The sequence below is a fragment of the Homo sapiens genome, chromosome 1, assembly GCF_000001405.40.
Source record: "Homo sapiens chromosome 1, GRCh38.p14 Primary Assembly".
Classification (NCBI taxonomy): Eukaryota; Metazoa; Chordata; class Mammalia; order Primates; family Hominidae; genus Homo; species Homo sapiens.
In genome coordinates, this window is record NC_000001.11 from 224,537,299 (window position 1) to 224,551,691 (window position 14,393).

Consider the following 14,393-nt stretch of genomic DNA (forward strand, 5'->3'; position numbering starts at 1 on the left):
CAAATGCATATCTGATTGCTTTCTCTGCCTTACTGTTTATGCAAAACTGCAGATGCACTGAGGCTAAGTGATCATTCCTCTACCCACCCCTCACATGTAAATCGTGTATTCAGTGAAAGGCTGATAAAAGACTGGAAAGACTGCAACCATTTGTCTCTTACCTACCTGTGATCTGGAAGCCCCCGCCCCCGTGCTTTGAGTTGTCCTGCCTTTCCAGACCAAACCAATGTACGTCTTACACATATTGATTGATGTCTCATGTCTCCCTAAATGCATAAAATCAAGCTGTGCCCCAACCACCAGGGCACACATTGTCAGGCCCTCCTGAGGCTGTGTCACAGGTGTGTCCTTAACCTTGGCAAAATAAACTTTCTAAATTGATCGAGACCTGTCTCAGATACTTTTGGTTCACACATATAAAGCACTGTATGCATATATAATGTATAACAGCAGCAGCAGCAATTATAAGAACAATAACAGCCATTTAGTTTGGGATACAGGGAGACGCTGGATTAATTTCAGCTTAACTGATAGTGTGTGACTATTTATTGTCAGTACCATCCATAATAAGCAAAAGGAACTTTATTTTCTCAACTAAAGGTAGAGGACCCAGGATATGAAGTGGAGTAGAGTGGAAATCAGACACATTATTATTATTATTTTTTTTTTTGAGACAGAGTCTCACTCTGTCACCCAGGCTGGAGTGTAATGGCGCGATCTTGGCTCACTGCAACCTCTACCTCCCAGGTTCCAGCAATTCTCCTGCCTCAGCCTCCCGAGTAGTTGGCATTACAGGTGCCACCGTGCCTGGCTAATTTTTTTGTATTTTTAGTAGAGATGGAGTTTCACCATATTGGCCAGGCTGGTTTTGAACTCCTGACCTCAAGTGATCCATCCGCATCAGCCTCCCAAAGTGCTAGGATTACAGGAGTGAGCCACTGCGCCTGGCCCAGACATGTTAATTAAAGTGGAAAAGTTTGTACCTTCAGCTTTACCAAGTTCTAGATTCGTTCTCTGCTTAATTCATCCCATAAGAGTCTCAGGAATGTGGTAGTTTTTGGCACCATAACTGTCTGACCAAGATGAGTCTCTTAGGAGTGTGGAGGAGAGCTTGGGGACAGAATTCTGTTCCTAAGGAGAGACCCTGTTTAAGTCCTTTGATGTGGTCGTAGCACCGAATGAGGTTGCTATATATACAGGTAGCAATCTTGAAGAGCTTTTATTTGGTGGAGTTTTCAAACCCCATGCCTCCCAGTACCCCATCCTTTAGCTACAAGGAAGAACATCGGCCTCTTTACTACATCTTGGACAATGCCTTCTCTATGATTCTCCCTGCCTCCTCCTCCTTCTCTCTCTCTCTCTCTCTTTTTTTTTTTTTAAGAGACAGGGTCTTGCGTGTTGCCCAGCCCGGAATGTAGTGGTGCAATCAGAGCTCACCATAACCTCTAACTCCTGGGTTTATGTGATCCTCCCACCTCAGCCTCCTGAGTAGCTGGGACTACAGGAATGGCCACCTAGCCCAGCTAATTACATTTTTTTTTTTTTTTTTTTTTGTAGAGATGGTGTTTCATGTTGCTCAGGCTGGTCTCGAACTCCTGGTCTCAAGTGATTCTCCTGCCTCAGTCTCCCAAAGTGCTGCGATTACAGGCATAAGCCTATTATGCCCAGCCTCTACTTACTGTTTAAATGTACCTTTCCTCAAGTTTTATCTTCCCATGTTTTCCTGCTCAGATTCTCTGTCTGAGGGGGCTCACCTATATTCACCTCTAAATTTCTTGTGGCTAACACAGATTTCCAGTGGTCTCCTGGATATTTTCCCATGCATTTCTCTTCCGTAACTAAAACTTAGCACACTTAATTTAACATGTCATCCTGCATACTGCTCCTCTTGCCGTATTTACTTATCATGGCTATTAGGACTTCTACCCTTGCTTTCATTTGGGCCAGAAGCCTCAGTCGTCTTCCATTTCTTGTTCTCCATTCTCTTTAAACTCCAGGGTCTCTTGACATCCAAATCATCAATTGCCAAGTTCTGTCCTTTCTTCCTTTGAACTTTCTTCCCAGTCCAATACCTTGATTCTGCTATAATTTAAGTACTTTTTGACTCTTATGGATTATTTCAGTAGCTTCATGACATATCAAATTTCCAACTTCGACTTTTCTTCATTGTTGCATGAGTTATCTTTCTCTCTGATCCAGTTCAGATAGTTTTACCTCCTCAGAATCATCAGTGGCTCCTTGCTCTCCAAGATACGTGGTTCAGTTCCAGGCTGGGACTTTACAACGCTCTAGGATTCAGTCCCAACCTACCCTATGCCTTCCTTATGCCCCATGCTGGTCACTGCCCCATACTGGCCATACTGCACTACTTGCCCTTCACTAAATATGCCATTCATACCTCCATGTTTTTGCTTATGCTATCCGTGAGAGGTAGACCCACCTCTCTACCTTTCCCTGTGCCACCTAGTTAGAACTAATCATTCCCTACTTTGTCTTTCTGTATTTTGAACTTTGTCTTTCTGTATTCTGTTTCTATATTTTGCTTATTTTCTATTCTAGTACTTCTTCTGAGAAGTACTATATGCTTTATATTATAGTTAATTGCCTTCCCTCCAGATTGTAAGCTCCTTGAGGGTGCACTGAATTTTATTCCTTTCTGTATTCGTGTAACATTGATCACACAGAGCTTTACTCATAGTAAGCCTCTCAATAAATATCAATGAATGAATGGGTACTATTCACAGCACACAACGTGGGTAATTGGGAGGCTGGCCTTGAAGTATGTCTCATAGCTTCAAAATTTCTGATCTTTCTTCACCGTAGCTAAAAGTTCAAAAGAAAATCATCTAGTTCCTGGGGAAGTATCCTACGGGCCAACTTACATGGAAATGCAGCTGCACTCTCGTTTCATTTTGCTCCTGTGGTTTTGTCTCATGGCCCTGACTTGAAATTTCAGTTGGAAACTTGAAATGCAACCAAAGTAGTTTCTTCTGTGTCACCCAATAATAAGGCTTTCTAAACCCTTCAATTTTACTCAAACATTTCTCTTGAAAATCAGCTCTGCTGCAAAGTGGGGCTAATTCAATAGCCACCCATGCGGATGTAGTTGTGAGGATGAGTTTAAATGGGACATTTTTAGACTCTCCAATATGTCAACAAGTTAAAAGTTTCATTCATTTAAAAAATGTAAATAAATGCAGCTGCATCTGGCTATATGGACATTAAAGTGAGATCGTGGTTCTAAACCAAGTGACAAGATGCTGCAAACTGAGGGAGATACCCAGCTTTGAAGATAATTTAAGAAGCATTAATAAATATATTTAGAAAACTCATGCAGCCAAACCCCTACCTCCAGCTCATGTTTTTTTACCCTGTAAGCTAGCAGAATTTGTAATGACAGCTTAAGAACAACAAATAAAGAACTGGCTGCTTACCAAAACCAATTAAGTGGTGAGAAAAGGAAGTCACATGCATTAAACTTGCATGTTGGAATTCTCCATTATTGGACTTAAAATAATTATACAATTTCATACTTAAAGTAATTATACAATTTTGCATTTCTCATTAGAATATTTTTATAGAATTAAACAGTGTTCAACTTTCGAAAACTAGATTTCCAGAAATCAGCCTGCAAGTCTGTTTGCTTGAAGATAGAACGCATTTTCTTATAAAAATGGTATTATAAATGCAGGTGGGTACCCAGATTAGCCCACTAAAGTCATTCATACTCATTTATATTGATGCCATATGATGTATTTACAAGAAAAAATTAAGTAAAAAATTCCATTGCTGTATTGGCATGTATGTAAGTAATTTAATCTCCCATCTCTGAAATTTATTAAGAAAGGTTTTCATTTTTACTAAATGGTGAATGAAAAGCACAGCGGAAAGCAGATTTAATTAAGGGCTGAAAATATAGATGAGTACCGTGGTGGAGATTCCGAAGGGAAATTTGGGCCCTTTCCAGGACTTTCTAATTTGATGTTACTGGCTCTTTATGACATTAAGTGTCACTTCCAAATTTATGGCTTTCCTTTTTCCTCATATGGTTGTATCACTGGCACTACTTTAGGCTTATCATACATGATTAGGGTCATTTTTCTTTGGCTTACAAATGGAAGAAAAAGGGGACAAAATGGGACATTTTCTTCTGAGATAATTGAGCAAAAGTTAGATAAGAGGAAAGAGGGAGAAAAGGCCCTTAAAAAGGATGTGCATGCATATTAAAAATAAATTTCCTATAGTGGTTACCCTGAGCTGAGTCAGCAAAAATGCATGATTTCCTAAAGAAGAAAGAAGCTATTCATTAGATTTGAGAGTTCTTTGCAGTCCCAAGCCATGCTATTGCTTCTCAAAGGGTAGAGGCTACCAGAGGAACAAGCACAGAAAGAGCTCTGTATGCAACTGGCTATTCTTTTTTAGAGAAGATTCACAAATTGGGTGTTTATAGCTTTGCAATTCATGGTACTCTGTCATTAACTAATTTTGTGAGCATAACTATGATTTATTTCTCTTTCATTTTCCATACACAGAAAACGACTGTATCTTATCTTATTTTTAAAAAATCTTAATGTCTCTCACTCTTTGTAAGCATCACCTCCAATGGACTCCAAAACTCATGGCCCCTCCAATTCAACTTGCTACTGCTGTTTAGATAATACTTTTCAGAATCTTCCCCAGCCAAGACAAGTCCAGTGGCTTCCAATTTTCTTCACACGTTGAAACTTTTCTGCCGGATGTTCAGGGCCTCCATAGAATGGCTTCACACTTCCCAGTCAAGCCCACACCTCCTCCACTTCCTATCAGATGCCTCTGCTCTGGTTTGGCCAGAATCTTTCCTATTGTTTGAAAATGCCACAACCATTCCAGCTTCTATGCATCATCAATTCATGTTTTCCTTCTTAAAATTCATTCTTTTTCCTCCTTGGCTACTTAAATTCCATCTATTTGTAGGAAGCAACATTTGGGGTGTCTATTCTACGTAACAATAATTTTGGGCAATGAAGCCCTAGCAACGATTTTGTACTACATGACCCTGCTTTCTTAGCCACACTTGATTGGACTAACAGAGTACCTATGACCTAAAATGGAATGATCAAACTCTCTTCCCTAGGAATTTGGAAATGGAACTGAAAACCAGTGTGGGTGTCTGAAGATGGAACATGTGACTTAGGAACACGAAATAGAATAGCCACATTCTATTTTCTGGAAGAGAAACTATGGCAGCCTCATGGTAGAAAGAGAAAGAGTGTATGTAATAGAGTACTTGGTAGAAAATAGCAGAAACAAATTCTAGTTAACTTAGCAGAAAATATTTACTCTAAGGATATGATGTAGCTCATAGGATCAATGAGAAGGCTAGGAACCAGGTTTGGAGAATGGACCAAGAGAGATTAGGCAGCCCAAAGACAGCCAAGGTGTCTTCCTAGGAACAGTCCAGTTAGAATGCCACTGTAAGCTCCACTCTTGCCTCTTCTCGTCAACCCCTCCGTATAGTAGCTGCAGTGATCTTTCTAAAATTTAACTCAGATTATGATATTCTCCTGCTATTGTATAATAATTTCTCTGGTCTTTGTCCTAGTTCCTGGCATGGAGACTCTAATACCATTGGAATTTTCCAAGTTGTCTTTGTTATCCATGGTGGGTCCTGATTGCTTATGCTAATGAGGTGACTCATGCTAGGCCTCTAGACAGCTTCTGCAAATGAGAAGATTCAGGATGTGGGTAGGCTGAGTCAGAAAGACCAACCATGAGATTAGAAGGTTGGAGCTTTGAGCTATGTGATATCAGCCGGATCTCTGGAGAGGGGAGGGAAGCTGGAGATTGAGTCTAATCATGTGGGCCAATAATTCATTGAAACATGCCTGGGTAACGAAATTCTAATAGAAACTCAACACAGAAGTTTAGTGGAGCTTCCTGGTTGGTGCTGGGAGGGTGACACGTCCTGATTCTATGGGGAAAGAGGGCACAGGAGCTCTATGTGTGGGATCCTTCTGGATCTTGCCCTGTGTGTCTGTTTGTTTGCCTGCTTCGGATTTGTATCCTTTATCATAAAACTGTAATTACCAGTACTCTCCTGCGTACTTTAGTTCACGGGAGTTCTGTGAGTCATTCTAACAATTAACAAACCTGAGGGGGCCATGAAAATCTTAGAATTTGTAGCTAGTTGGTCAGAAGTGTGGGTGGTCTGAAGACCCTCAAACTTGCAGCTGGTTTCTAAATAGGGACAGTGCTGTTGGAGACCATGCCTTTTGGCTTGTGGAGTCAGTGCTGACTCTGGGTGGTTAGTGTCAGAATTGTATTGCATTACACCACCTGCTTAGCACTTCCAAATGGTTTTTATTAGACCAGAATAAAACAAGTGTTCACAATGGCCTGCAGTGACCTTGCCAGACTTGCTTCCTGCCTGTCTCCCTGGCCTTACCTCCCTCTACTCTCCTCCATATGCACTGCATTCCAGGATGACATTTCTTCTGTCCCTCGCACACACCAAGCTGACTCCATTTCAGTGCTTTGCACTTGCTCTTTCCTCTGCTTGGAATACCTTTCTTCCAGATCTTTGTGTGGACTTCTTTGAGGGTAGAAGTACTGTTGGTCTGGTTCACTTTTATACCCAAGACCTACAGCAGTAACTGGATTGGTTGATTGATTATACACTCATAGGTCACATAAGAGATCTGGGTGGGTCTGTTCATTATAATTCTGCAACCTACAGGATCAGATTCTAGGTCTGTCTTTTTAGCTAAATTGGCTCTTTGGCTGTTAAGAGATAAGAGGTTCTTTCTGTGCTGTTATCAAAGCTTTTTGGCTCTTGGACCATGGCATTAGCTGAGATATTTAAGCCCCAAGTTTGTAGTTTTCTTTCTGTGAACTCACCAGTGCATTCAGAAATAGTCAGTTCATTCAGAGTCTTTATATTTATTGCTCCCTCCAAAATAGTTGCAATCACCACTTGGTCTCCACAGGGAGAAGGAAGCCTTACCTTCCATATGCACTTCATCTCAAGCAGTCAGCAGTGATAATTTAACTAACAATTTGCTACAGCATCCCATGGACTACCAGTATCTTATTTTCCACTGGCATTGAGGTCATCATCTCATGCACGCCAACTCAGATAATCAATCCCAGATCCTATCTTTGAATCAGTTTCCTGGAGCTATTTTAGGAATATTTTGTTTATTCAGGGAAGCAAAACTGCTCTATGTTTTTAAAATAGGGAGTTCAATTCAGGAAATTGGTAACAGAGGTCTTGGAATGGTGGGAGAACAAAGAGGAAGGCAAAATGACTCAAAGATTGGTAATTTTAGGACGCCACTCCACCTCTAGGGCTGAGTGCACAGAAGCGAACACCATGTCACCAGAGCCCATGACCGCTGTGCTGCTGAGGCTGCTGCTGATGGAACTTGACTGCCCAAGGAGGAACTCAAGAGCTCTCAGTTACTCTTGGCACTACTACGACCACCACCATTATTGCTTTTGTCACTGCTGTCACTATTGCTGTTGCTATTGCTGCTGTCACTGCTAGAATCAAGAAAACACATGGCTTCTCCCTGCCTCCTACTTTCCAGTATCCTGCCACTGCCTCCCATGAGCATAATCAGCTGGCAGATGAGTCTGGAAAATGTAGTCTTCAGGCTTCTGGCCTGAGGGAGGAAGTAGAGTGGGGTGAGTGTTAGCTAAGAGACCATGGATTCCATGTGGCACAAACTCAGAGGTCCTGCTCAGATAAGCCTTCCTTGCCCCTGATACCAGAGCAGATCACGCTGAGCTCACTCTCAAAGCCATTGGCACTTTCTTCTCATAGAAGTTCCTACAGTTTGTGATTGCATATTGCAATGTATATGTACAAACGTATGTGTGTATCTCCTATGTGTGCAGAAGCTCCCCAAAGGCAATGACTGTGTAGCTTTTGCTGTCCACCATACCTGTAGCTCCTACACATGGTGGGGACTCAAATGTGTGTTGAACCAATGAACGGCTTCAAACAGCTCTGCCTTTCTGCCCATCCTTCACCCTTGTCTCTTCTCTCATCTTAATTCAGTCCCTTTCTATTATAACGTTCAGAGTCTACAATGAACTGTGAGACTTGGAGTGAGAAATGAGCTTTTAGATGAGTTCTCATCATCTTTAAAAATACGTATTTCACAACAGTATCAGTTAGGCTACCCAAATTCCCAGGCATTCTAGTCCTTTCAGAATTCCTGCCCCTCAGCATGAACATGCAAGTCTGTGTGTCCCTCCTCTTTTCAGGTCACATTAAGCTTAGGTGTCGGGTTGGAAGACTAGGTGCCATAGGAAGGATATAAAGGCAGTGGCTGTAAGAACAAACATCATTAAGTTCTTGGCGGAGGAAGAAGGGGCACAGAGGAGGGGATTTATGTGAATAAAGAGTCTGGGTCAGGGACTTGTGGCCTTGAACAAAGTGTGATGAAGAGGGTAATTTCCCCTGAATCAGCTTGAACATCAGGCTTCTAGTCACTATTTGGCTTTTGCAACATTAAAAATTACTATGTGGCTTAGTGTGCTAGGGCTGCTGTAACACAATACCACGGACTGGGTGGCTTCACTATAGAAACGGATTTTCTCCTGTTCTGGAGGCTGGGAAGTCCAACATCAAGGTGTTGGCAGCTTTGGTTTCTCCCGAGGCCCCTCTCCTTGGTTTGCAGGTGGCTTCCCAGGGTTTCTCTGTGTGTTTGTGTCCTAAGCTCCTCTTCTTATAAGGACACCAGTCATACTGGGTTAGAGCCCACCCTAATGACCTCATTTTAACTTAATTACCTCTTTAAATACCTTATCTCCAAATGCAGATACATTCTGAGTTACTTGGGATTAGGACTTCCAACACATGAATTTTAAGGGAACACAATTCAGTCCCTAACACCAAAGCAGCAAGCTTTGTTTCATTCTTGTATGTTTGGATACAACTTTTATGGAAGTTTTTCTCAAACGGAAATCCCAATATATGAAGTTATATCTCCCATGCTGTTAATTTCCAGAAGGCTTACAGGGAGAACTGAAATGGTTTGCAAACAAAAATGACAATAGAACACAGTAAGATGCTGCACTTCCCGCTCTCCCAAGACACCCAGCCTCCAAACTGCACTGTGGTGCCATCAGTTAGCATGAATTAGGAGAGACACGAGGTTAGACAGCCCAGCACGTTGTAGTCAACCTGGAGGGGGTAATGAATGCTGAGCAGCGTCAGGGGAAATTAGGAGGAGAGGTCACAGAGGTGTGGTGGAGCTGGAGTCTCATGCCTTGGTGAGAAGTGGAGAACAAAGAAAAGGGAGGAGTTCCATTCTGACCCAGTGTGTGTCACTTGGTTTAGCAAATTTATAATCATGGGTCCCAGAGAAAATTTATGTAAAATACCCTTATCCAACCCACTGCTCCAGGAAGCACCTATTTTTCATGCCTTCTGTGAGTTGTCAAAATGTATCTTCCAACTTTAATGAAACTCTAAGGTCAGCAGAGCCTCAGCTTTGACAAATAAAACCATTCAAGTCTGTATCTCCCTCATTGTCCTCCAGTGATCCTCATGGAACACCTTTCCTGAAGAGATGATGATGGGGCCATTTGACATGGGACACAGCAGGTGCTGGAAGAAGCACATATTTTTAGTGACAAAGACTGTGACTATGGTAAGCCAGAAACAAGACACTCAACCACTGAATTAGGACTTTTGAAGTAGTAATTGGTAGTGGTAAGATGGGTGAGTGAGTACCTAATGGGCCCACCTGTGTGCATACACGCAAGGTTGTCTCCATGCTGGAGGCTGAATGAACAAAAGAATATTATCTCCAAAATTGCAAGATTTCCTAACAACTGGAGATGTTCCAGCTTCTCTGGCAATTTGGCAGATGACTGGGGAAGAATAAAGAGGGCCCTGTAATTCTCAATTAATCTGGAAATAATGCCAGAAATTCCTCCTAATACCACAGTGGGTGTACACCCTGTAATATCATTCATAATATCCGAAAGGAGATATTACTCCAAATATCACAGTGGGTGTACACCCTGTGACAGTATTCGTAATATCTGAAAGGAGATCTTACCCCTAATATCACAGTGGCTATATACCCTGTGATATTATTCATAATATCTGAAAAAAGATATTACCCCTAATATTACAGTGGGTGTACACACTGTGATCGTATTCATAATATCTAAGGGAACTATTATTCTTAATATCACAGTGGGTGTACACCCTGTGATAGTATTAGTAATAATTAAGGGGGGTGAAACACCCTGTGTGTACACCCCCTGTGATATTCTTCATAATATATAAGGGAGATGTTACTCCTAATATCACAGTGCGTGTACACCCCGTGATATTATTTGTAATATCTAAGCGAGGTATTACTCCTAATATTACAGTGGGTGTACACCCCATGATATTATTCATATATCTACTAAGGGAGATATCACTTTTAATATCACATGGGTGTATACCTCGTGATATTATTCGTAATACCGAATGAGATATTACTTCCAATATCACAGTGGTGTACATCCTGTGACATTATTTGTAATATCTAAAGAAGATATTATTCCTAATATCAAAGTGGGAGTATACCCTGTGTGTACACCCCATGATATTGTTTATAGTATCTAAGAGAGATATTACTCCAATATCACAGTGGGTAGACACCCTTTATGTACACCTGGTGATATTATTTGTAAGATCTAAGGGAGATATTACTCCTAATATCACAGTAAGTGTACACCACATGATATTATTCATAACATCTCAGGGAGATACTTCTCCTAATATCACAGTGGGTGTACACCCCGTGATGTTATTTATAACGTATAAGGGAGATATTATTCCTAATATCACAGTGGGTGCATACCCTCGGATATTTTTTGTAATATCTAAGGGATACATTACTCCTAATATCACAATGGGTGTACACCCTGTGATATTATAGGCAATATCTTAGGGAGATATTACTCCTAACATCACAATTAATGTACACCCTATGTGTACACCTTGTGATATTACTCGCAATATCAAAGGGAGACATTACTTTCAATATCACAGTGGGTGTACACCCTGTGATATGATTAGTAATATTTAAGGGAAATATTTCTCCTAATATCACAGTAAGCATTCACCCTGTGTGTACACCCTGTGATATTATTTGTAATATATAGGGGAGATGTCACTCCTAATATAACAGTGGGTATATACCCTCTGATATTATTCATAATATCGATAAAAGATATTACATTTAATATCACTGTCAGTGTACATCCTGTGATATTATTCATTATTTCTAAAAAGATGTTGTTCCTAATATCATAGTGGGAGTACACTCTGTGTGTACATCCTGTAATATTATTTGTAATATTTAAGGGAGATATTACTGCCACTATCATGATGGCAGTACACCCTGTGTGGACACCCTGTGATATTATTAGTAACATCTAAGGGAGATACTACTCTTAATATCACAGGGGGTGTACACCCTGTGTGTACACCCTGGCACATTGTAGCATTTCAAGGTGACACTACTCATAATATAACAGGGGGTGTACACCCTGTGTGTATACCCTGGGACGTTATTCGTAGTATCCCAGGGAGATACTACTTGTAATATCACAGTGGTTATACACCCTGCTTGTACATTCTAGGACATTGTTCGTAGTATTCAAGGGAGATACTTTTCATAGCATCACAGTGTGTGTACACCCTGTGTGTACACCCTGGGACATTATTCATAGTATCCCATGGTGATACTACTCGTAATATCACAGTGGTGTACACTTTGTGTACACATTATTACAAATAATTATTACAAATATCAGAGCGATGATATTTCATTTACATCACAGTGTGTACACACAGAGGGGATGTTATAAAAATATCAGAGCAATGATGCTTCATTAATATCATAGTGTGTACACACACACTGGATGTTATGGAAATATCAGAGCAATGATATTTCCTTAATATCACAGTGTGTACTCACACTGGATGAATAGATGTATCAGAGTGATGATGTTTCCTTAATAACACAGTGTGTACAAACACACTAGATATTATAGAAATAGCAGACGGATTCTATTTCATTAATATGATATTTCATTAATATCACAGTGTGTATACACTGGATATAATGGAAATATCAGAGTGATGATATTTCCTTAATATCACAGTGTGTACACACACACTGGTTGTTACAGACAAATGAGAGTGATGATATTTTCTTAATATCACAGACTGTATGCACACACTAAATGTTACAGACAAATCAGAGCGATGACATTTCATTAATATCAGAGGCTGTAAATACGGAATATTATAGAAATATCAGAAATATAGTATGTAATACTGAATATTATAGAAATACCAGAGCGATGATATTTCACTAATACCACAGGGTGTAAACACTGGATATTATAAAACTATGAGAGTGATGATATTTCATTAATATCATGGTGTGTAAACACTGAATACTATGGAAATATCAGAGTGATGATGTTTCATTATTATCACAGTGCTTACATTTACAATTACAAATACTGGATATTATAGAAATATCAGAGCCATGATATTTTATTAATATGACAGCATGTAAACACTGGTTATTAAAGAAATATCAGAGTGATAATGTTTCATTAATTTCACAGTGTGTAAACACTGTATGTAACCACCGGATAATATAAAAATATCAGAGCGATTATATGTCATTAATATCACAGTGTGTAAACACAGGATATCATAGAATATCAGAGGGATGATATTTCTATAATATCTACAGTTGTTAATGTCACAGTGTGACAACTGTAGATATTATAGAAATATCAGTGATGATAGTTTATTAATATCACAATGTACATGTACTGTGTGTAAACACAGGATATTTTAGAAATATCAGAGCAATGATATTACGTTAATATCACAGTGGGTAAACAGTGTGTGTAACCACTAGATTTTATAGAAAATAGGTGCGATGATATTTCATTAATATCACAGTGTGTAAACACTGAATAGTATGGAAATATCGGAGCAATGTTATTTCATTATTATCACAGTGTGTAAAAACTGTGTAAACACTGGATATTATAGAAATATCAGAGCGAAGATATTACATTAATATCAATGTATAAACACTAAATGTTAAATAAATATCATAGCAATGATATTTCATTAATATCACAGTGTGTAAACTGTGTGTAAGCACTGGATATTATAGAAATATGAGAGCGATGTTATTTCAGTAATATCACAGTGTGTAAACACAGGATGTTATAGAAATAACAGAGTGATGGTGTTTCTTTAATGTCACACAGTGGGCAAACACTGAACGTTATAGAACTATCAAAGTGATATTTCATAAATATCATCAAAGTGTGTAAACACTGGATATAATAGAAATATCAGAGCGATGATATTTCTTTTCTTTTTTTTATTATACTTTAAGTTTTAGGGTACATGTGCACAATGTGCAGGTGAGTTACATATGTATACATGTGCCATGTTGGTGTGCTGCACCCATTAACTCGTCATTTAACATTAGGTTATATCTCCTAATGCTATCCCTCCCCCTCCCCCCACCCCACAACAGGCCCCGGTGTGTGATGTTCCCCTTCCTGTGTCCATGTGTTCTCATTGTTCAATTCCCACCTATGAGTGAGAACATGTGGTGTTTGGTTTTTTGTCCTTGCGATAGTTTGCTGAGAATCAGAGAAATGCGAATCAAAACCACAATGAGATACCATCTCACACCAGTTAGAATGGCGATCATTAAAAAGTCAGGAAACAACAGGTGCTGGAGAGGATGTGGAGAAATAGGAACACTTTTACACTGTTGGTGGGACTGTAAACTAGTTCAACCATTGTGGAAGTCAGTGTGGCGATTCCTCAGGGATCTAGAACTAGAAATACCATTTGACCCAGCAATCCCATTACTGGGTATATACCCAAAGGATTATAAATCATGCTGCTATAAAGACACATGCACACATATGTTTATTGCGGCATGATTCACACAATAGCAAAGACTTGGAATCAAACCAAATGTCCAACAATGATAGACTAGATTAAGAAAATGTGGCACATATACACCATGAAATACTATGCAGCCATAAAAAATGATGAGTTCATGTCCTTTGTAGGAACATGGATGAAGCAGAGCGATGATATTTCGTTAATATCACAGTGGACAAACATTGTATGTAATCACCGAATATTATAGAAATATCAGAGGGATGATATTTCATTAATATCACAGTGTATTAACATTGGGTGTAACACCTGGATTATAGAGAAATATCAAAGTGACGTTATTTCATTAATATCACAGTGTGTAAACACTAGATATTATAGAAATATCACAGCTATGTTATTTCATTAATATCACAGTGTGTACACCCTGGATATTTTA

The 14,393-nt window shown here is 39.6% G+C and overlaps 1 protein-coding gene across 13 annotated transcripts in view; it reads left to right on the top strand.

The window, feature by feature from the left end:
• The window catches only part of CNIH3 (cornichon family AMPA receptor auxiliary protein 3), a 305,915-nt gene that overhangs the window by 102,659 nt on the left and 188,863 nt on the right, over positions 1 to 14,393 (top strand). Inside the window, exon 2 of one of the 13 annotated variants that reach the window (NR_136295.2) lies at positions 9,531 to 9,641. The exons of the other annotated variants lie outside the window; for them this stretch is intronic. The gene's annotated coding sequence lies outside the window, so the exon portion shown is untranslated. The remainder of the gene's footprint in view (positions 1 to 9,530; positions 9,642 to 14,393) is intronic. 13 annotated transcript variants of the gene reach the window in all.